At 42.0% G+C, this 22,984-nt stretch overlaps 1 protein-coding gene across 1 annotated transcript in view, besides 1 other annotated feature; it reads left to right on the top strand.

The window, feature by feature from the left end:
* The window catches only part of HEXB (hexosaminidase subunit beta), an 81,266-nt gene that overhangs the window by 20,184 nt on the left and 38,098 nt on the right, over positions 1-22,984 (top strand). The window lies entirely within an intron of this gene.
* Positions 17,930-18,108: a silencer, noted in NCBI's record as "fragment chr5:73973961-73974139 (GRCh37/hg19 assembly coordinates)". NCBI's record gives its function as "represses an EF-1alpha promoter that drives an FKBP-Casp9 reporter gene in an ReSE screen in K562 erythroleukemia cells {active_cell/tissue: K562}" and the evidence as "EXISTENCE:reporter gene assay evidence [ECO:0000049][PMID:32094911]".

Here is a 22,984-nt window from a genome sequence, read left to right on the forward strand (position 1 = left end):
AATTGTATCCCAAACAATATGTTCAGCCCTAAATAATGACTTGTGATTGATCAAAGCCAACGATTACAATCCTGTTCCTGTTACCAGGCAGTTGATTTCCCAGCCTCCCTTTTAATGAGGAGTAGCTGTGTGACTCAGCTTGTGACAAAGAAATGTAAAAGGAAGCCTGCTAGGAGGTATCTGGGAAAATTTTTGCTTTTCTGTTAAAAGAGGCTGATATGGCTGATGCCACCTCTCTCCCTCTTCCTGCTTCAAACATAGGTCATGATGCCTGAAGCTGTGGCAGCCAGCTTGTAGCTATAAGGGACAAAACAAGAGTGTCACAGGGACACCAGCCATAATATCATCAAGCCACTAAATGGAGCCATCAGCTCCCACTCCAGATGCTCCCAATCCCAGTCAATGAGAAGAATTAGAACTTGTTTGCCTAAGCTACCCTTGGTTGTATCTGTTCTTCCTAGCAGCAGCTGAATGCAATCCCAATACAAAACTCATATTCTAAGAAAATGTTGCCTTTATGACTGGTAAAATCATATTTTGATTACCACTGGAAAAAAAACATAAAAAATGTTCTAGTGCTCACAGATCTCATCAAAGAGGCCTCTGATCCCTGGGGATACACAAATTGCCATTCGAGAAGAACCAAGCTAAGCCAGAGAAGCAACTACAGACAAGTAAGAAAGACAAGGCATTGACTGGAAGAAAAAGATCAACTCGAGAAAGCAAAAATATAGGAAAAAGACACCGGGCATAACAGCATCTCACTTGTAAAGGGAACATGGCAACAAGAAATCCATGGGTCAGTGAGAGAGAGAGAGAGAGAGATAGAGAGAGAGAGAGAGTGGCCTTCACCCTTCATTCCAGACAGCACCAGCTGGAGCCACAGTGAGCCACATGTCTGTGGGCGTCGGGGGCTGCTGAGAAGTTGCCTCTCTGGCTTTTGGGATGACAAGCCCAGAGCTATAGCACAGGCCAGTTGCTTCTGTAATAAGCATTTGTTAGATCACCCTAGCCTTCCAGAAGCTGAACATAAATCGAAATCCACAGTCCTTGAAATCAAGAGTTATCCTCTGACTGAGAACGAGAATGGGGTGAAATCAACAAAAATGAAAAGGAAAATCAGGAAAAACAGGAGGCAAGCCAGCTGGGGACCCATGTCTTCCTCTATCTTCAGAAATCTTTACTCCTTTAGTCCTGAACAGCATGACTCATATTTTTTTAAATAATATTTTCTATTGTTTTAGGACCTTTTGATTGAAGACAGTGGTGTTACAACAAAGAAGTCATGAATTCATTTTCTCTCTCTCTGTGTGTGTGTGTGTGTGTGTGTGTGTGTGTGTGTGTGTGTGTGTGTGTGTCTCTCTCTCTCTCTCTCTCTTTCATCTTGCCAATGTTGCCTAGACTGATCTCAAACTCCTGGCCTCAAGGGATCCTCCCACCTCAGTCTCCCAAAGGGCTGGGATTAAGGGTACAAGCCAGAACATCTGGCCTGCATGACTTATATTTGAAACTGAGTTCTACTTAAAGGAAATCCAATACGTAAAATTCCAAACCTACAAAACAAATTGAAAGATCAATAACTTTTTAAGTGGATAGTTCATTTTCCATACTGCAGGTTTTCTTCATAAAATGAGTTTTCCTAGTACATTTACTCCAAGATTTGAATTAAGCAGGAGTCTTGAGCAGCCTGGCCACATATAGCCAAATACCAAGTGCTTCCTGGTTCACAAAATGACCTGTTTGTCCTCATGACAACCTTATTTGATCTTTATGACAACCCTACGATTACGAGAGGAATAGATACTCTTTCCAGAATGTTTTTTGTTCAAAGAACAAACATTCATTTAAAAAATAGGCTTACTTTTAGCTGAGCATTAAATAAATGTGTTCATTGTAGAGAAGCAGAAAGAAAAAAAGAAATCCTCCATACCCCAGAGAAAACCACCATGATTTTAAGCTTTTTTTTTTCAGTCTTTGTGCTGTGCACAGACATGGTAATACTCATTAGACAATTTTATTTTCAGAAGTTTTTCACCTAACATTATAACATGAATATTTTCTCAGGATATTCAGCTACTCTTACTGTCATTTTTCATGATTGCACAGTATAATTTCCATAATTATTTCTAATAATTGAAATGCTTCTTTGCCCATTTTGTTTTGAGTTACTCTGTGAGTGTCATTTAAGCAAAAATGTAAATGAATTATGCTACTAGAAAATGTAATAAGCTAATCATTCTCCCTATTGTTGAGGTTTGCTTCCTACCAATTATTCTCTGATCAACATCTTTATGTATAACTCTTTTTCTATATCTCAGGTGAATTTTTTTAGAATAAATTACTGGAGATGGAGCTACTGGTCCAAAAGGAATAGATGTTTTAAGGTGCTGTTTGCAAAAGTGCTTCCCAAAATGACTGTACCAATCTACATTCTCAAAATATCCCTTTGACCACACTGTCACCAGCATGGAGTAAGCATTTTAAGAAACATTTGCTTATTTATAGGTAAAAATCATATTTTATTATTATATTAATATGCACAGTTTTATCTCTGAGTTTGAACACCTTTCCAGAAATGTATTAACCAGCTATAATTTGGTTTTTTGTAAAGGATGTGGTCCTAGAGCAGAAACAAACCTCATTTTACTGCTGAGGAAACAAAACCTGGAGGAATTTAAGCCATTTCCCCAAGGCTAAACAATTACTAAACTGGCTAAGTGAGGAATCCAACTCAGGCTTTTTGAAGCTGACCTAAGTAATTTCCCCTCCCCACCACCATCATACGGATTTTTTAATTCTTCAAACCTATCTGCAAGATTTAACAAAATAAGTACTTTTTAAAGTACACACTTCCAAGTCATAGCTTCTCTGTCAGTTTAGAACTCAGTAAACGAAGACCCAAGAACGCATATGGGCATCTGCTACAGACCTAAAGTCAGTGTCTAATTACAAAGATGACCTCTTTCTTTCTTTTTCCTTTTTTTTGGGGGGGTGGAGTGCGGTGGCGGAGTTTCGCTCTTGTTGCCCAGGCTGGAATGCAATGGTGCGATCTCGACTCACTGCAACCTCCACCTCCCAAGCTCAAATGATTCTCCTGCCTCAGCTTCCTGAGTAGCTGGGAGTACAGGCGCCCGCCACCACACCTGGCTAATTTTTGTATTTTTAGTAGAGACAGGGTTTTGCCATGTTGGTCAGGCTGGTCTCTATGTCCTAACCTCAGGTGATCCACCCGCCTCGGCCTCCCAAAGTGTTGGGATTACAGGCATGAGCCACCGTGCCTGGCAAAAGATGACCTCTTTCTAATCACGTGCTGCCTGACTGCTCTTAGGCTTAAGACTTTAGATGCTTGCACAATGGAGATTCATACCATGTTGAAATACAATGGGCAAGCTAGGAGCAAAATGGAAAAGAATTAGTTTCTAAACAGAACTGTTGGGAGTCAAGGGTTTCAAAGTCAGGCAGAATTATGATTTGCAATCAGCAAAAATAGATCAATCCTATCCATTACATATAGATCAAGGGGAAAGAAATTAGTGAATTATCCGTGAAAATAAATACATTTAAGAAAGACCCAGATAGAGAAATAACCTACACTCTCAACGTTTAAAAGATGGATTACTTAAAAATGGAATATTGGGGCCAGGCGTGGGGGCTCATGCCTGTAATCCCAACATCTTGGGAGGCTGAGACAGGAGGATTGCTTGAGCCCAGGATTTCAAGACCAGCCTGGGCAACATAGTGGGATCCTGTATCTACAAAAAACTTTAGGCCAGGCGTGGTGGCACACGCCTCTAATCCCAGCACTTTGGGAGGCCGAGGCAGGTGGATCACCTGAGGTCAGGAGTTTGTGACCAGGCTGACTAACATGGTGAAACCCCGTCTCTACTAAATAAAAAAAAATTAGCTGGGTGTGGTGGCGCATGCCTGTAATCCGAGCTACTTGGGAGGCTGAGACAGGAGAATGGCTTGTACCTGGGAGGTGGAGGTTGCAGTGAGCCAAGATTGTGCCATTACATTCCAGCCTGGGCAACAAGAGTGAAACTCCATCTCAAAAAAAAAAAAATTTAAAAACTAGCCAGGTGTGGTGGTGCACCCCTGTAGTCCCAGCTATTCAGTACACAGTCTGAGGTGGGAGGATCACTCAAGCCCAGGAGATGAAGATCAAAGTAGCTATGATCGTGCCATTGCACTCCAGCTTGGGCAATAGAGCAAGATTCTATCTCTAAAAAAAAAAAAAAAAAAAAAAACAGAGAGAGAGAGAATACTGAATAGATGGCGCTGTTAACCATTTAAAAAAGAATAAATTACATTCTCCCATTTCATGTAGTATGCCAAAATCAGTTCTGGATAGATTTATGTTAAATATAAAAATGAACTATAAAAAAACAAATTTAAGAAAAGTGGAAATCGATAATCTGATTTCAAGCTGGGAAAGCTTAAAAACTGAAAAGGACTCCATAAAGGAAAGGGTTACAGAGAGAAGTTTAAGACTTCTGAAGAGTGTCAGAAGGAGGGAGAGAGGGAAAAAAATCTGGCAAAACAAATAAAATTTTCCAGCTCATCGTCCAAGTTAAGAGGCAAGTATCAAGCTAAGGAGACAATGGCAATTAATAGGGCAGGAAGAGGATGAATATCTTTACTATGGAACTGTTCCTAATGAGAGGACCTAGCACCTGCAGGAAAACAGGATGCTCACACTCTCGTTGTGGGAGGGCACGACATATCCCATTACGCCCTTGGAGAAGCGCATTTGGGACAGTGCATACTAAAACAGACTCAAAAATAAGAGCTCATGCCCTTTGATCCAGTAATTCTACTTTTAAGAACGAATCAGAGGTCTACAAAAAGATTTTCACATAAAGATATTTATCACAGGCTATGGTAGTGAAAATGTCTGAAAATTTAAAATGTCCCCAAATAAGAAAGTGGTTCAATAAAAATTAATCCATCCAGACTCATAACTTAAGAGAATATTTTATAAAAGGAAAAAGTTTTCTGGTATTTGCAGTGATAAAAGCAAGTGACAAAGCAATATAGGAAGCATGGCTAAAATTCTGTAAAATGAAAAGTACATAAGTAAACAGTGGTTATAACTGAATAGAATTCCATAGGATTTTTAAAATTTTCTTTTTTGTACTTCTTTTCCTAACTTTCTAAAAATACATATGGATATCTATACATGTCCTCATGCCCACGCACACTTTTCTCTGTGTGTGTGTGTGTGTGTGTGTAGGAGGAGGAGAGTTGTGCAATAGCAGCCCCGTGGACAGTGTTCTAGGCATCTCCCATGCCCCTGCTTTCCTACACACACATGTTAAAAACATCTTCTTGGAAACCTACAAAGGACTATAAAAATAGAGACTACACAGGTGGGTTACCAGCTAAGCTTTCTTAATGAGAAACTGGGAAGAAGTGAATAGCAAGTTTGATGAAATCATATCTTCAGAAAGCTATAAATATTACAGAAGACAGATAAGAACATAAACAACTGCAAGACCAAAGACTCTGTGGAACAAATTCACTAGGAGAGAAGGGAAATTTTATATACCGAATTCTTTTTTTTTAAGCCAGTTCCCTGTGAGTGTCCAGTTTAATGACTGTTTAAATTATATCTGCAATTTTCTGAGTGGTTCCCTTACTTTTCAAGTTTATAAACCAACACATCAACAATTCTCAGTCAATGGAAGAGCATTTCTCTGGGGAGCTATGAAAATATACCTTGCATTTTAAATGCAATAAAAAGCATGAATAAACATGCCTCTGTTCTTTATAACACAGAAGTACCACATCTGGTCATTAAAAAAATGCATTATACAGAGTTGTACAGATGCCAGATACTTATTACAGAGAACTGTTTTATCCATTTAGCCCAATTTTCCAGATGTTTTATTACTTGGAGACAGGAGAATTGTTGAAACTGATGATTGAAGCCCATTTATTTCCAGGGGCTCGACTGCAAACCATAGAAAGCATTTGAGGGACAAGTAATTTATGACAGGCCACAAGGCAATGCTTGAGGAAGGCTGTCATCTCAATGGGTCACAAATAATACCAACAAAGGACAAAACACCCTATTTTAGTAACCCCAGGCTTCATTTACAAAAATTGCCTCTTAGGCAAGCACTTAGTTGTCATTTCACATGCAAATGTGTATGCACGTAATTGGAGCAATTTTCATAATAGTAGGTCAAGTTGGCAGTGACATTGAAAATGGCCCAGGTTGGCTCTGATTGGAGGCCTGGTTGTCATTGTCTGCAAGCTGGCAAAATTCTCACCTGGATCAGTTGGAAGTCTTGTTCTCATAAAGACAACAGGATCAAGTTCAGCAGGGGCAGGTGCCGCTTCCCCATCCCTTCCCCAACTCCCCCACTCCCTGCTGCCCCCAAAGTCACAGCCCTAAGAGGCCCTGCCCACACTGCAGAGCAGCAGCCTTGGGGCATTAGCAGAGCTGGCCTTGGCAGCCACAGTCATTGCCGCTAATTAGAAGGCACCTCACCATGGTCAATTCTCTCCCTCTATCAATCAACCTGCTCAGAGCAGAAATAGGGACTAGAAAGGGGAGCAGAACCTTTTCTAGCTTCACTCTTCTGAAGCTAGAAGAGTGAACACACACACACATATAGAGAGAGAGAACACACACACATATATATAGGGAAAAGCTCTCAGAACATAATGGAGACGTGTTCTTAGGCCACACTGAAAACTCATCTAAGTCAATGTGTCTAGCAGCAAGTGTTGGGGAATTTAGTTTTTCTATGTTGCTATTTTTGTAAATGCTGGTAGCCTCTGGCATTAGAGACAGTAGGGTCTATAGATCCTCTTCCTGACAACCTTGCTACCAGGTTGCGTATATTACAGTGAAAGGGAATCTGACACCACATTCTGCCAATATTTATTAACAAGCAGGTATTAATTTAAAAATTATTGGCCGGGCACAGTGGCTCACGTCTGTAATCCCAGCACTTTGGGAGGCCGAGGCAGGCAGATCACCTGAGGTCGGGAGTTCGAGACCAGCCTGACCAAAATGGAGAAACCCTGCTCTACTAAAATTACAAAAAAAAAACTATCCAGGCATGGTGGTGCATGCCTGTAACCCCAGCTATTCAGGAGGCTGAGGCAGGAGAATCACTTGAACCCGGGAGGCAGAGGTTGTGGTAAGCCGAAATCACGCCATTGCACTCCAGCCTGGATGAGAAGAGCAAAACTCTCTCAAAAAAAAAAATTACCATACAGTCCATTCTTGTGAGTTTGGGAAAGGTCTCATCTGTCTCTTCAGGCATTACAACAATTCTTTGCCTGAGAGCTTCACTCCAAGGAGGAACAAAATATTCTAACCACAGAATTAGTCAGTTTTCAAGTTCAGTCAGGAGACAGAGTCCACAGGGAAGTGGGAGAAGACAGGGTCAAGTGAATGTCCAGAAGTCAAGTGCTGCTGCAAAGGCTCGGGCTGGGCTTGCTGGGTTTGCTTGTATGAGGGCAGCAGGGCTGGTACAGTCTTTGTAGTCAGCCACAGATTTCAACTTGCATTTCGCTAACTGATCCAATCATTCCCTAACCCCGTGTCGTTAGATTTCAACAACAGTATTCAAATCTGTACTTCTGGAGTGCATCTTCTTGATTAGGGCACTTCAGAGTCACTAATCATCCCTAAGTGTGGATTCCTGATTAAGGGGTCCTCAAATACTAGCCGCCATCACCCCATCACACTGTCTATAATAGATTATATTAACATAAATTACCACACAGGTTATATAACATCCACTGTCCACAAGGAGTAAGACTGGGAAGGGCTAAATGGTTCTCAGGGGACAGACAACCTGTCCTATTGCTCCATAAAGTGACAGAGCCTGGCTCTTCAATATCCAGCCATAAAATGCCTTAATTGTGATCCATTTGGAGACTGGATTACCTGATAGGGACAAGAAACATTTACCTGGGAGAGGGCTTCAGGAGAGTTGCAGCCATACGCCTCTTCCAGCAGCTAGGTTTTTTATTTTATTTTGTTTTTTTGTTTTTGTTTTGTTTGTGTGTGTGTGTGTGTGTGTGTGTGTGTTTCTCAGCACCTTTGTTCTTTGATTTTGAATTCTGCTTTTCTCTTTTCAGTTCTGTTTTTTTATAACTTGTTCATATATCTTCAGGACTGACGGTGGAGGAGGAAAAGCAGTGCAGATTCAGGCTGCAACAGCAGAAGCTAACTTTTTCTTTGCTATGTAAGAGAATTTCAGAGAGGTAGCCTGGCCCCCGTGGCAAGAGAATAGGATGTGCAGTTAGGCCAAGTGGAGTTCAAATCCTGACTCTCAGACTTCCTAGTAGTGCCTCTCTGAGCTTCATATTCCTCATGTGTGAAACAAGACCAGTCCTATGTACCCTGCAGCGTTGTTATAAGGGTTTGAGATACTGTGTGTAAAGAATCTGCTATATAGCAAGGCTGTAAAAATAGTGGCTTTTATTAGCCCCCAGGGACCTCCTGCTATAAGCAGTGGACACATCAAGATACAAAGAAACACAAGTCATGATCAAGAATAGGTAACTATAGTGTAATTCATTAAATGTTCTGATGGTCTCCAATCTTGAGTGATTTAGTCTATGAAGGATTGTGTCTCCTTTTTTAAACTGTACACATATTCAAGTGCAGAAACTGAGACTAAACATTCATCTCTATGTTCATTAAACAATTGCATTTCCTTATTTGGATGCAAGTCTTCTGTCCATTTTTCTACAGAATGTTTATTGGTTTGTGCGGGCATTTTTTTCTTTTCTTTTCCTTTTTCTGAGACAGAGTTTTGCTCTTATTGCCCAGGCTGGAGTTCAACAGCACAATCTCGGCTCACCACAACCTCTGCCTCCCGGGTTCAAGCAAGTCTCCTCCCTAGTAGCTGGGATGACAGGAGCACACCACCACGCCCTATTAATTTTTTGTATTTTTAATAGAAATGGGATTTCACCATGTTAGCCAGGCTGGTTCCAAAGTGTGAGCACTTCATATAGTAAATATACTATGCCATCACTAGCTGTGTTTGCCATGGTATTTTTTAAAGTTCAAAGAGTACCTTTAAATTTAGGTTACTTTTTCGACATACAAAATTTAATTTAACTATTTTTTTTTTCAGTTATGAGCATTATTCAAATCTAAGCTAAAAGGGAGACAGTCCTCCTTCTACCACAGATTTGATAAATATGCACTTTCAATTTCTTCTAGGTTTTAAGTAACTTACCTTATCAATAAATCTGGAATTAATTTTGGGAGGACTGAGATAATTATCTAAATTGATTTTTCCCTAGGGAACTCATCAATTCTTCCTTTGCTATTTATTGAAAATCCTTCTCTTTCTCCCTGATCTGTCATGTCTCCTCCAGCATAAATTAAATTTTTACACTGAATAGGATCTATATCAGGATATCAATCCTACATCATCGATCTGTTTGCCTCTTCTTAAACCAGCACCATGCTGACTGTAGAATGTTGACAAGCAGAGCTAGGGATACAGGGTGCCAAGTGGCTGGCAGAGGAGAGAGGGAGGATTTCCAGGGAAGACAGTGTGGTCTTGGCATAAAGACAGCAAAACGGAAGTTCAGGGCCTCATAAGACAATGAAAAGTCATATCTCAATTTGGCTGAACACTGGGGGAAATAAGTAAGAGACTGGGGAGAAAAAGAACTAGAAGGTAGTGGGCGATGCAGAGACAGGCCAGGAGCCCCAGGTTAACAAGAACTTCCCATGTGCAATACCATAAGTGATATAAAACTGTGGAAGACGTGTTGATAGCAGCAGGAGGCAGACCAATCCTAGGCAGACAGGGGTGGGTCCCCAGTGAAACCTGACCTTCAAACCAAAGAGAGTTTGAAGCCTGAAAGCCAAGGTACTAGTCTTGCATAAATCCATGGACTGATTGAGAACCTCTCTTCCTGTTTGGTGCACTTTCCTCTGATTGATCCCCACCCTTCACCTATTTTACATATACCTACACTTCCCTAACTGGTTTTTTTTGTACACTCTCATGCCCACCTGTGAGTGGTGCCTTTGTTTTAGCCTCTTTTTTTTTTTTGCCTACTCACAAACCAGTCAGTACACACTCCCTATTCTGAGCCCATAAAAGCCCTGGACTCAGCCACACTGAGAGAAACCATCAACTTCAGGCGGGGGACCACCCTCACGTCCCCTCTCTGCTGAGAGCTATTTTATTGCTCAATAAAATTATTCTCCACCCTCCTCGCCCTTCAATTGTCAGCCCAATTTCATTCTTCTCAGAGGTGAAACAAGAACCCAAGACCCACCAAATGCGAATACACAGAAGGCTGTACTACTGTGGCCCTCTGCCCTCCGCCAGTGAAGCGCAGCTGCCTCATGTAACAGGAAGTAGCAGCAGGGCCAAGCCAGCCCCCAGAGCTGCCAGCCAGGGTGGGGCAAGATGCTAACAGAACTGTTAACATGCTGTCAGTCAGGCTGTGGATGGCAAGACTAAAAGAGCTAATTAGCACTCTGTAACACCCCCTCTGGGACTTTGGGGTCATGGGTGCACCTGCCCGGGCGCCACTGCATTCCTCTTGTTTAGATGCTGGAGTCCACTGTGGGAGTGGTTTGCAACACGCCTGGTCCAGCCACAAGACCCACACAGAGCCTGCTCCTGTGCTGCTTGGAACAATTGGCTGGACCCCGCACTTGCTCGCTCACACACCCCCTCCCACCAGGGGCCAAGCACATAGTCACGGTGGCTGCAGGATCTGTACCAGAATGCAGGCCGGGTGCAGCCCAGGAGGCCAAGTGGACAGAGCATCTCTGCAGCAATCCCAGGTCCCAGCAAGGCTGGCAGGAAGTCTCCTGACAGGAAGTCTTCAGCCAGCAAAGTGACCGAGAAAAGTCCTATATCAGTATTATTGTTATCCTCAAGGGATAGGGTGGTACACAGAAAGACTGATGGTAAAAAAACAACTACAGTAAGGGACAACAATGCCACAAGAGTACTGGCAACAAAGTGTTCCAAGACCCATAAAAATAATAATCGTCTCCTCATTAATCTTATGTATTCATCAGACCTTACGTCCACTGAACCCTTGAGTACTGGAAACAACCCAAAGGTCCATCAACTAGTAAATGGATAAACAAATTCCACACCCTGAGTACTACTCAGCAATAACAGGAATAAACTGTGGATACGCACTACAACCTGGATGAATCTCAAAATAATTATGCTGAGTAAAAGAAACCAGACAAAAAAAAAAGCCATATGGTACATTTGTATACAATTCTAGAAAATGCAAACTAACCTGTAGTGACAGAAAGCAGATCAGTACTTGTCTGGATGGAAGGTAGGGCCAGGGGCAGGGAGGGGAGAGAAGGGTGAAGCGGGGAGATTGCAAAAGGGCCTGAAGAAACAAGGGGAGTGATGGGTATGTCCAATATCTGATTGTGGCAATGGTTCCACCGCCATGTATCTAAAACTTACCAAATTGTATACTTTAAATATAGGCAATTTATTGTATGTCAATCACACTCAGTAAAACTGTAAAAATAAATTTTATCTTATACTTGCTGATTCTTTTCTAATAGATCTGGGCCAAAACTCAAACACTGATATTTTTTTCAAAGCTCTCAAGATGAGCCTGATGCACAGTGAGGTTAAAAATCCCAGGTCCCATGATACCTGAGATGCTTCCTGGGTGTCCGATTCTGTCTGTCTGCAATGGGAGGACTCCTTGGTGAATGCTAGGAAAGTATTCTCCTCACATGGAGACCGGCGCCTTGGTGAGAATAGGTGGCGGCCACTCGTTTGCTGTTGGTTATTCCTGCTTCTGTGCCTCACACTGGAATTTGGGCTGATGAGGTCTGTGTGCTTTGTTCCTGCAAAGCTTGCAGTCTGATCCAGGCTTCTGCTATCCCGATATATGTGATGCTTGTTCTCAGGCAATAGCCCCCACCCTGACCCCTCTCTAGCGTCATGACTTTGTGAACTGTCAAAGTGGTCACCACATGCCCCTCATCCATCTCCCTGCCTGTGGTACACACTGCGAGCCCTTCAGGGAATGTACTCCTTGCTCCAATAGGGCAGCCCTCCAGGGAAGCCCAGTGTCCCCTCAGCTAACCAGCATATCTTCAACAAAAAAGCAGTTATTTTTCCACTTGCCTCTGGAGGCTTCCAGCTGAGCTTTCTGGTCCTTTGCACACTGCACAGCTCTTCGTGCCAATATTGCCCAGAGCACTTCCACCAGTGCCAGCTGCCTGCCTGTAAGTCCTGGTGAGAAGTGAGCCCTCACTCCATGCCCCAGAGTCAGATCCACAGCCTCTGAAGCTATAGACCACACTGAATGCCTCTGACAGAGAGCAGAACCAAATTCCAATCCCTAGCCCCCAAGAACATTCTCTCTCACGAAGACAAACTCCCCACCTCTCTCTAGACTTCTTTAAAAGGGAGGAGAGGGCAGGCTGACATGCCAACTGACAGCAATGCCCTCTTAGCAAACCCTGCACTGGGTAGCTAGTGCCATTTCTGCTTCCCTGAGAGATGTCCTGTCACACCTCCTTGTTCATATCCACACGTCAAATTAAGTCCTTTGTCTATTACATTTCCCAGTCCCCTCCCGGTTCAGCTTTCTCCATCATCTCATATACAAGACAAATCGTAGAGAGTGGAAGGAAGGTTAAGAAGGACTATTTTTAAGAGGGGTAGGAGACATGCAGTTGCCAACATGAACTTTGCCCCCAGTCTGGAGACTTTGGATTTAGAAACCTTAGAAGGTTTGCTTCTTGTGGCATCAGAGCAGCCTTTGGTCACCAAAATGTTTCCAGATGGATTCAGATTTTTTTTTCTTAGCATCTTGGTACTTGGTCTGCATTAACAGATCAAATGAATACCCAAATTATATAAATAGTATTCATTAATAGAAAAGGTAGAGAATTGGGGAACAAGATAGTGTGGATTCCCACCAGATGGCACTGTTTAATAGATAAGGAAGAGAAAGTTGTTTTTGTGGCTAATTTTAGCAAAGCAGGGAGAAATGCTTGCCAGTTGCCAGAGCAGATTTAACTCCAAGCCGTCTTCTTGCCCTTCTGGACAGGCCAGTTTAGCTCCCCCTTGCCAGATGGCACTCAATCTCAGTTTTCATAATTGCAGTGACAGAATTCACAAATATTTCGGGTTGCTTATGGATATGTCATGAGAGTAGAAAAATGTGATCATCTAATTTCAGGAGCTCCGTCCCTGCCACAGAATGTTCCCACTTCTGCAGGAGTTAGGCAGCTTTGCTTGCTTGTCTGCCCAGGTCCTAGGCTGTCCACCCACCTCAACAAATTGTATCACTGTCCATGGGGATGCTGAAGTGGCTCACTAGGCATCCATCCATCTCCCCTCCTCCCAGTGTGTCCTCCGGTAGAACAGAGGCTGGCAACTACACTTCCCAGACTCCCTTGCTGCTGGGGTTCCATGTTCTTTAGTTTCTGCTCATTAGATGTGATTGCATGAGCCTTGAATTCAGAAGTGAGTTAGGTGGAGACTGAGACAGGGCATGACGTATCCCTTTGCTGTGTAGACTGGAGCTGAAATGGTGTAATTCTAGAGTTAGCACCTATAGCAGAGGCTTCTCCATCCGGCATGCAGCTTCCTGGTCATGACAAGAGCAGTTACTCAAGAAATTTCAGCCAAGAGCCAAGTTCTTCAGCTCTCACAAGGATTCTGTGAGCCACTCGATACTCTGTAATTAGTTAATTCCTCCTAAAGCTAGCTGGAGTGGATTCTGTTCTGTCAATCTACAATAATCAAAAGGGTCAGAATTTAGTTATACTCAAAGTGTGAGGATGAACCACCCAGAAACACCAACTCCAAAGGAATGGAGTTGGCATTCAGAAGCAGGGAAGTAAATATTTCATTTGTATAGGTGGGAACAGAGGAATTTTTAGCAGAATTACAACATTATTATTCATGTGAGTCTGGCACATTCTTATAGCAATTTAATTGGCTATAGGCCATGTTTCTTTTTGAGAAGGGTACATTTGACATTTTTTAACAGAGGGTGTAATAATCATTGGTTGTTTGTCATTTGGTCTAAACAAACTAGAACAAAGGGGAAGTTAAATCTATAACAAGAGTCCAAGGTCATCAATTAAGAAGAAAGGAGGTTTTCAGCCAGGCGTGGTGGCTCAAGCCTGTAATCCCGGCACTTTGGGAGGCCGAGGCGGGCAGATCACAAGGTCAGGAGATCGAGACCATCCTGGCTAACATGGTGAAACCCCGTCTCTACTAAAAATACGAAAAAATTAGCCAGGTATGGTGGCAGGCGCCTGTCGTCCCAGCTGCTCAGGAGGCTGAGGCAGGAGAATGGCGTGAACCCGGGAGGCGGAGCTTGCAGTGAGCTGAGATTGCGCCACTGCACTCCAGTCTGGGAGACAGAGCAAGACTCTGTCTCAGAAAAAAAAAAAAAAAAGAAGAAGAAGAAAGGAGGTTTTTATCTCAGATGCCATTTATTTATCTCTAGTCATTATACAGAATGAGAAAAATAAGAAAGTAAGCTAATCTATAATCTGAGAACAGAAGTTGTAAGCATATGTGATGCGGATCACAGTCACATCTCTGTCAAGGCTTAAGGCATTTTTGGAGGTTCCAAAAAGCTTCTAAATTTTATTTATTTTCTCAGTTCTCTGTAACTAAGCATTGAATGACTGATAGATTATCTACCTGTAAGTCTGAGCTAGAAATCTGATAAATTTCCTAAATTCCTCTTTTCCTCATTTCCCATAGCTAGCTGATCCACAGATATTGTGAGGATATTATCTAAATAAGTTGTGGTAAAGAAAAAATTATTTGGACACCTGTCAAAATGATAAGGAAGCCTTTATTCAGGACTATTCCAATAGGTGTCAAGACTATTGCAACATGGGAGTCAGATCAGGCTGAACTCTGAATATTGCAAAGACAGCTGGAAATTTATAAGCAACCAGCAGAGTGAGGGGGTCAGTGGATGGCAATTTATTAAAAGGAACCATCAAAGGTAAGAGGATTCCTGCTGAAGGCAGGCCAGGGTGATCAGACATCAAGGATGGGGATGAGAAATTTAATCAGGTATCGAGAGCAATTAAATATCAACAGTGGGGGATTCTTACTAAACTAATTATCTGGATTCTTGCTAGAACTGGGCTATGGAGGTCCAGGGAGAATGGGGGCCAAAGTCGAAGTCTAGTCCAGAAGAGGCTTAGTCAGGTCTCAGAGCCTGACTAAAGTTTGGTCAAGAGAGGGTCTTTGTCAGTTGATACATAAAAAAGTGCTCAGCAAAGAGCAACAAGAGGCTCCACTAGTTCTCTTTCTCCTCCTCATTTTGCTATTATGTGAGGCCATTCTGTGAGGGAGGAGAAAGCTCAGTGGATTTAAGTAAATGAAGGTCACTGCCCCTGGAGCACACAACTGAGGGTGCAAGTGATGTGGTCAGAGAGGTGGTCAGATGCCAGATTCTGCCACACTGTGCAGGCCATATTAAGGATCCTATATTTTATTCTAAAGACAATGGGGAACAAGCCATTGAAATGTTTTAAGCAAGGAAGTGATATGACTGACTTTACATTTTACAAAGATGACTTTGTTAGCTGTGTTTCCACAGCTGACTGGGGTCGGGGGGTGAGGTGGTGGTATAAGCAGCAAGTGGAAAGATCTCTCCAGGCCAACACCTAAAGTTCTACTTCATTCTTGTATAATCTCTCAGAGGAAATTGAGTGGGGAGGGAATCTTATGAATAGCAGCAACAAAAAGAATGAAGCATGCCTAACAGGAAATGTGAAAGACCTAGGTAGAGTATAAGACTTTGGTGACAAGCATAAAATAACTTTATAAATTAACAGAAAGTATTTCTAAGTGGAAAGCCCCAATATGGCAAAGATGTCAGTTTTCTCTGAATTGAGCTATAATGTGAATGCAATTCCTATCAATAGCAGTTTTTGTTTTTTGTTTTGGACCTTGTCAATCAAGTCTTTAATTTCATATGTAAGGAAAAATTATTTTTGTTATTATTATTATTAATACAAGTAGAGGAGTTTATTTGGGCCAAGCTTGAGTAGTGCAACCCAGGAGCATAGATTCAAATTGCCCTGAATATACACTCTGATTACGAACAGTTACAAGTGCACTTTATTTCTTGTAAAGACGGTGTCTCACTATGTTGCCCAGGCTGGTCTCAAACTCCTGGCCTCAAGCAATTAATCTTCCCACCTCAGCTTCTGGACTGAAGTGCCAGTCCAAAGTGCTGGGACTTTAGGCATGAGCCACCATGCCCACATGCAAATTTTTAAAGGGCAAGAAGGGGCTGGGTGCAGTGGCTCACTCCTGTAATCCCAGCACTTTGGGAGCCAAGGTGGGTGGATCGCTTCAGCCAGGAGTTCAAGACCAGCCTGGCCAACATTGTGAAACCCTGACTGTAGTAAAAATACAAAAATTAGCTGGGCGTGGTGGCACATGCCTGTGATTCCAGCTACTCGGGAGGCTGAGGCAGGGGTAGTGCCTGAACCTGGGAGGCGGAGGTTGCAGTGAGCTGAGATTGCACCACTTCACTCCAGCCTTCATGACAGATGAGATTCTCTCAAAAAAAAGGGGAGCGGTGCGGGAAGGTGGAAGAAGGGGCAGTTCCTAGTTGTTTATCCAGAATTTACATTAAAATAACATAAGCTATTGATTGGCTATACATTGTTCTCTGGTTTTTTGTTTGTTTTGTTTTGTTTTGTTTGAGACGGAGTCTCACTCTGTCACCCAGGCTGGAGTGCAGTGGCGGGATCTCGGCTCACTGCAAACTCCACCTCCTGGGTTCATGCCATTCTCCTGCCTCAGCCTCCCGAGTAACTGGGATTACAGGCGCCCGCCACCACACCCCATTAATTTTTGTATTTTTAGTAGAGATGGGGTTTCAACATGTTGGCCAGGATGGTCTCGATATCCTGACCTCGTGATCTACCCGCCTCAGCCTCCCAAAGTGCTGGGATTACATGAGTCACCGCACCCAGCATACGTTGTTCTTTGCATCACAAATTCCAGAAACATGAAGATAATGAATGAAGCAGCTAGAAAAAAACAAAATAAACAATTGCCCCCAAGCATAAAGGGAGGCCAGTTACACATTTGCATGACTAAGTTCCAAACTCTTGCCTCTCTGGGCCTGCAGATTTCACATAGGTCAGACTGCTCTGAGATATTTTCATTTTCTCTGGTGGTAAAGGAGAAATATGATAAATATCAGTTTTACTCTCAGATTCTATTGGGGCAGGACAGCTGTATTGCATTCTATTAAACAGTTTGCATTTCTTTTCTTCTTCTTCTTTTTTTTTTTTTTTTTTTTTTTGGTACTACTCTCAGAGGTCCATGCCAAGTTCAGCTCTCTTTGCCAACACCAGCAATTCAACAGTGCACCTTCATAACAGGTCTTTATTTAATCTTCTTCCTTTCCTGTCTCGCTCTCCCCACTGTCACTGCTTCTTTTTGGAATTATTTTCCAAAGAAACTACCTCAAATTAAGTCTTTTTTTATTATTATTTTTTATGCTTTATTCCAGTAGCTTTTGGGGTACAAGTGGTTTTTTGTTAAAAGGATTAATTATATAGCAGTGAATTCTGAGATTTTAGTGCACTGGTCACCTGAGTAGTGCACAATGTACCTAATGTGTAGTTTTTTTAGCTCCTTTCCCACCCTCCCCTTTCTGAGTCTCCACAGTCCATTATATCGCTCTGTATGTGGAAGGAAAAATTATTTAAAATAGGAAGAAATTTTAGAAATAAAACAATGTGTGTGCATGCTCTTCAAGATATCAAAGCATAACTCAAAATTATAACGATTTAAATAGTGCAGCCAGGAGCAGTGGCTCACACCTGTAATCCCAGCACTTTGGGAGGCCCAGGAGGGTGGATCACCTGAGGTCAGGAGTTCGAGACCAGCCTGGCCAACATGGTGAAACCCCGTCTTTACTAAAAATACAAAAAATTAGCTGGGCATGGTGGCAGACACCTGTAATCCCAGCTCCTTGGGAGGCTGAGGCAGGAGAATCACTTGAACCCAGAAGGCGGAGGTTGCAGTGAGCTGAGATCGTGCCATTGCACTCCAGCCTGGGCAACAAGAGTGAAACTCCATCTCATAAATAAATAAATAAATAAATAAATAAATAAATAAATAAATACCATGCAATATTGACTGCATAGCAAGTGGCCCAGAAAGAAATATGCAGACCAACAGAACAGAATAAAGAGCCTCATCAGAACTATACAGCTTTAAGAAAATTTAGAAGAAACTATACAACATGTTTTAAATCAGTGAGGAATAGCCTATTCAATATATGACATTTTCATGATTGGCTAGCCATTTGGGAAAAAAAAAGCCTTACCTTAACTATGCACAAAAATAAACATCAGCTGGAATAAAGCATACAATTCAAAAACAAAACTATAAAAGCCTTGGGGAAAAAAGGGAATTTTTATCATCGTTGAATGATCATGAATCCTAATCAGGACAAATCCCAAAACCATAAAAGGAAGACTGACAAATTTGATCTAAAAAAAAGTTAAAAGCTACCGTAAAACAACATACCACATAAATAAAGGTAAAAGAAAATTAACAGAAAGGGAGAAAATATTTGTAATATACAGCACAGATGGATACTCCATTTAAAAATCACCCATACAAATCACTAGAGAAAAGAAAACAACACAAAGGGCAAAAAAGGTTCTTAGTAGAAGTTATAAAATGGTTATTTTATTCAATTTCACAAGTAATCAAAGAAGTGTAAATTAAAACAACTTACAAAATTGAAAAAGATTAATAATGTGGAATGAGGTTGTAGAGAAATGGATACTCATACACTGTTGCCGTTTTTGGGGGAAAAATTGGCACTATCTACTAACATTGAATTGTACATATCTTAAGCCTTGGTAATTTGCTACACAGCAATAGATAAATAATCCTTGGGATATATAAACTGATACTTGGAAGTAGGATGCAGCCATAACGAACACCTTAAATATGGGAGTGATTTTGGAATCTGGCAGTGGACAGAAACTGGAATGACATTGAAGATAGGGTTAGTGAAAGCATGAGGTACCTTGAAAAGGCTTTTAGTAGAGGTATAGGCTTGAAGAGACTCACTTTAAAAGAGTGAGGACGATATTATTGGAAACTGGAGAAATAGATCCTTCTTATGCCATGGCAGAAAGATTAGCAACACAGTAGCCAGCAGTAATGTGGAAAGTAGATGTGTCCACCTAAGAGAATTTGTTATCTAACTAAGGAGATTGCCAGCTAGTGTTCAGGGTGACTTCTAGCATGTGAGCAGAGCAAGATATGCTAAAGGGAGGACTGTTGGCCAGGCGCGGTGGCTCATGCCTATAATTCCAGCACTTTGGGAGGCCAAGGTGGTGGATCACTTGGGGTCAGGAGTTTGAGACCAGCCTGGCCAACATGGTGAAGCCCTGTCTCTACTAAAAGTACAAAAATTAGCTGGGAGTGGTGGCCCACACCTGTAATCCTAGCTATCTGGGAGGCTGAGGCAGAAGAATCACTTGAACCCGGGAGGCAGAGGTTGCAGTGATCCGAGACTGCACTACCGCACTCCAGCCTGGTGACAGCGCGAGACTCCGTCTCAAAAAAAAAAAAAAAAAAAAAAAAAAAGTATGGCTTTCAGGCAGAAATCAAGTCCAGGCAACCCCAGGAAAACATGGTCTAAATAGGAAACCCAAGTTGTAATTATAAAATCCCTTAAGACCTCAGAAAGATCTATTGTGGTGTCTTAGAGTACCTTTCAATCAGACAAAATGTCCTCTAAATATTTTAACAGTATGACTGACAAACCCTCTCAAACAATAGAGCGTATCTTGAAGAGATGTGTGGAAGTGGCTTTTGTCTAATGGCATGAACTTCAGTAAGATTAACAAGGAACCAACACAGTCTTTAACAGCAGAAACACTGCCAGCATGAACTGAAAGGGATACTATCTTTCATGAAAAAGGAAGGATGACTCGCAAATCAGAACTGCCCACAAGGTGACATCAAGAGCCATAGGGAATTATTTTCAGTCTTTGAATCCGGATCAAGGAACTTCAACATTTGCCTGGCTGGATTTTGGAATTGCTACAGACTCGTTGTTGCCTCTCATTTTTCCCTTTTTGAACAGGAATGTTTACAGTGGTTATTTTACACCTGTCCACCACTGTATTTTTGTGTCGGGGAGGAGTGGGAGGCAGATAACTTGCATTTAGTTCACAGGTCTTCACACTAAGAGGAACTGTACTTGAAGAACTTTAAGGAACTGCATCCTAGGAATCTCACCCACACCTGGATGTAATTTATATGCTAACATTCTGGATTTCAAGCTGCTTTTCTAAAGGGATGAGATTTTTGGGGTTCTTGGGAGAAAGGGAATGTGTTTTGCATGGAAGAAATAGAAATAATTTGTGGTCAGAAAGTATACTCCTCCCTTCAAAAGGTGGAAGCTAATTCCCCTCCCCTTGAATGTGGGAAAAATAAAAGCAAGGGAAAAATAACAGCAGGTACACATGTTAGGATTCCATTTTGGGGATATTTAGCACACAGTGCACCCAGGTGGAGAAACTTGATTCAGATTCTGATTAGACTAGTAGGTTGATGGTCTTTAATTAAAGGTCTGATTTTACCCTATAGAAAGTAAAAATCCAGTGATGCATTTTAAGCAATGGTGTTACATGTTTAGAAAGGTCCTCAGGGAAACCAGATACCATACAAATGAATTCAGTGGAAACACATTTGCTGTAAATCCATAGTGGTCCACTTTTTCATATTTCAGTCATCTGGGGAAACTTTGTTTCAGCTCCATGTTGTTTCAATTCCATGCGTTAGCTTTAATTAGCTGTGGTATCGTGAGCAAACCATTTAGTTCTTCGGGGCCCTGGAGCCTCAACATAGTCCTCTAAAATGGGGACAATAAAACCTACCTCTTAAGTTGTTTGGGGATAAAATAAGAGGATGATAATAATATGTCTGGCACCTTGTTGTTGGTGAATAAGTTGTAGTGATTATTACTTAGACTAATGGAGCTCAACAAGGTGATATTTGGCAATATCTGGAGACATTTATGTTTTTTACCACTGAGGCTCAGGGGTTGGGGGTGGTGCTACTGACGACCAGTGAGTAGAGCCCAGTTGCTACTAAACATCACGTAATGCACAGGACAGCTCCCCAGAACAAAAAACCATCTAGCCAAAAATGTCACTAGTGCTGAGGTTGAGAAACCCTGATTTAAAATATAACCCAAGCTGGGTGTATTGGTATAGGCCTGTAGTACTAACTATTCAGGAGGCTGAGACATGATTGCTTGAGCCCAAGCCCAAGTCCACCCTGAGTAACATAGTGAGACCCCATTTCTAAAAAATAAAATCTAACCCAACCATGAGTATGTTAATATTGTTCCCGTGTTATAGCACCCTTTTAAATAATGAGTCAGAGTTAATAACGGGGTGCAATAAAAAAGAGATCTGATAGTTTCACAAGATCTCAGGGCTTGGTGAATGTAACTCCAAATCTTCCTGAAACCACCCTCCATCACCCTAATTCCTAAATGCCCACAGTCATTCCCACCGATAATTTATCTCTTCCTAGTCTTCTAGCCTTCAATTTCCTTGCATCTGAGATCCACTCTTAAACTCTTCGGTGACTTACTTCTAAGGAATATAATGTGGTAGCAGTGATGCATGTCACTTACAAGATTACGCTATATAAAGGCATTGTGGCTTCCTCTTTGCTGTCTTTCTCAGATCATTTGGTTGGGAGAAGCCAGCTGCTATATTGTGGGTATGGCAAGTAACTCAGGCTTTCAGCCAGTTGCCAGCAAGAAACTGAGATCTGTTGCCAACAGCCATGCAAGTTAACTTAGAAGTAGATCCTCCGGGGCTGGGTGCGGTGGCTCACGCCTGCAATCCCAGCACTTTGGGAGGCCGAGACGGGCAGATCATGAGATCAGGAGATCGAGACCATCCTGGCTAACACGGTGAAACCCCATCTCTACTAAAAATACAAAAAATTAGCCGGGCGTGGTGGCGGGCGCCTGTAGTCCCAGCTACGCCGGAGGCTGAGGCAGGAGAATGGCGTGAACCCGGGAGGCGGAGCTTGCAGTGAGCCGAGATGGCTCCACTGCGCCCCAGCCTGGGCGATAGAGCGAGACTCCGTCTCAAAAAAAACAAAACAAAACAAAAAAAAGAAGATCCTCCAGCACTAGCCAAGCCTAAAGAAAAAAACCTTCAGACAACTGCAACTTCATGAGATAATCTAATCCAGAATCACCCAGCTAAGACTCCTAAATTCCTGAACCACAAGAACTGTGAGATATTTATCTTATTATTTATCTGTTGTTGTTTTAAGCTCCTAAATCTTGGAGTAATTTGTGACACAGCAATAGATAGCTAGTATGCAATGTGAAGTTGTAATTAAGTATATAGTAATTGCAACAACATAAATTGATGATTGAATCTTGGAAACATTATGCCGTGCTTCCATTGACAGTAAAAAGTGGCAGTAAAGATGGATATTGCAAATTATATTTGTCTTAATTATAAGAATAGGGGAGAATAGTGTGCCACTGAAGTTTTCTTTTATGGAAGAATTTTAAACATGCACCATGTAGGGGTGGAAAGATGTGATACCTTTCCTCATCCATCATGAGTCATGGCTGACACTCTTATAACAAAAGAGCAGATTAACACAAGGAAAGCATAACAGATTTATTTAATCAGTTTTACATGACATGGGAGCCTTCAGAATGAAGGCTCAAAGACCCAGGAAAAGCTGCCTATTTTGATGTTTAGGTTTGATGCAGAGCAGACAGCCAGGCAGAAATGCGATTGGGCAAAAAGGATATGATCAACCTAATGGTAATAGAGAGGAGAAACCTGGCAAGATGTGTCTGTTCAAATTCTTCTTGGCCTCTCTGTGTGGTATTCCTTCCTCCAGGATACGGTGCAGGGCCACTCTGGAACAAAAGTCTTGAGAGCCACTATCAGACAAGG

This window comes from Homo sapiens, chromosome 5, assembly GCF_000001405.40.
Source record: "Homo sapiens chromosome 5, GRCh38.p14 Primary Assembly".
Classification (NCBI taxonomy): domain Eukaryota; kingdom Metazoa; phylum Chordata; class Mammalia; order Primates; family Hominidae; genus Homo; species Homo sapiens.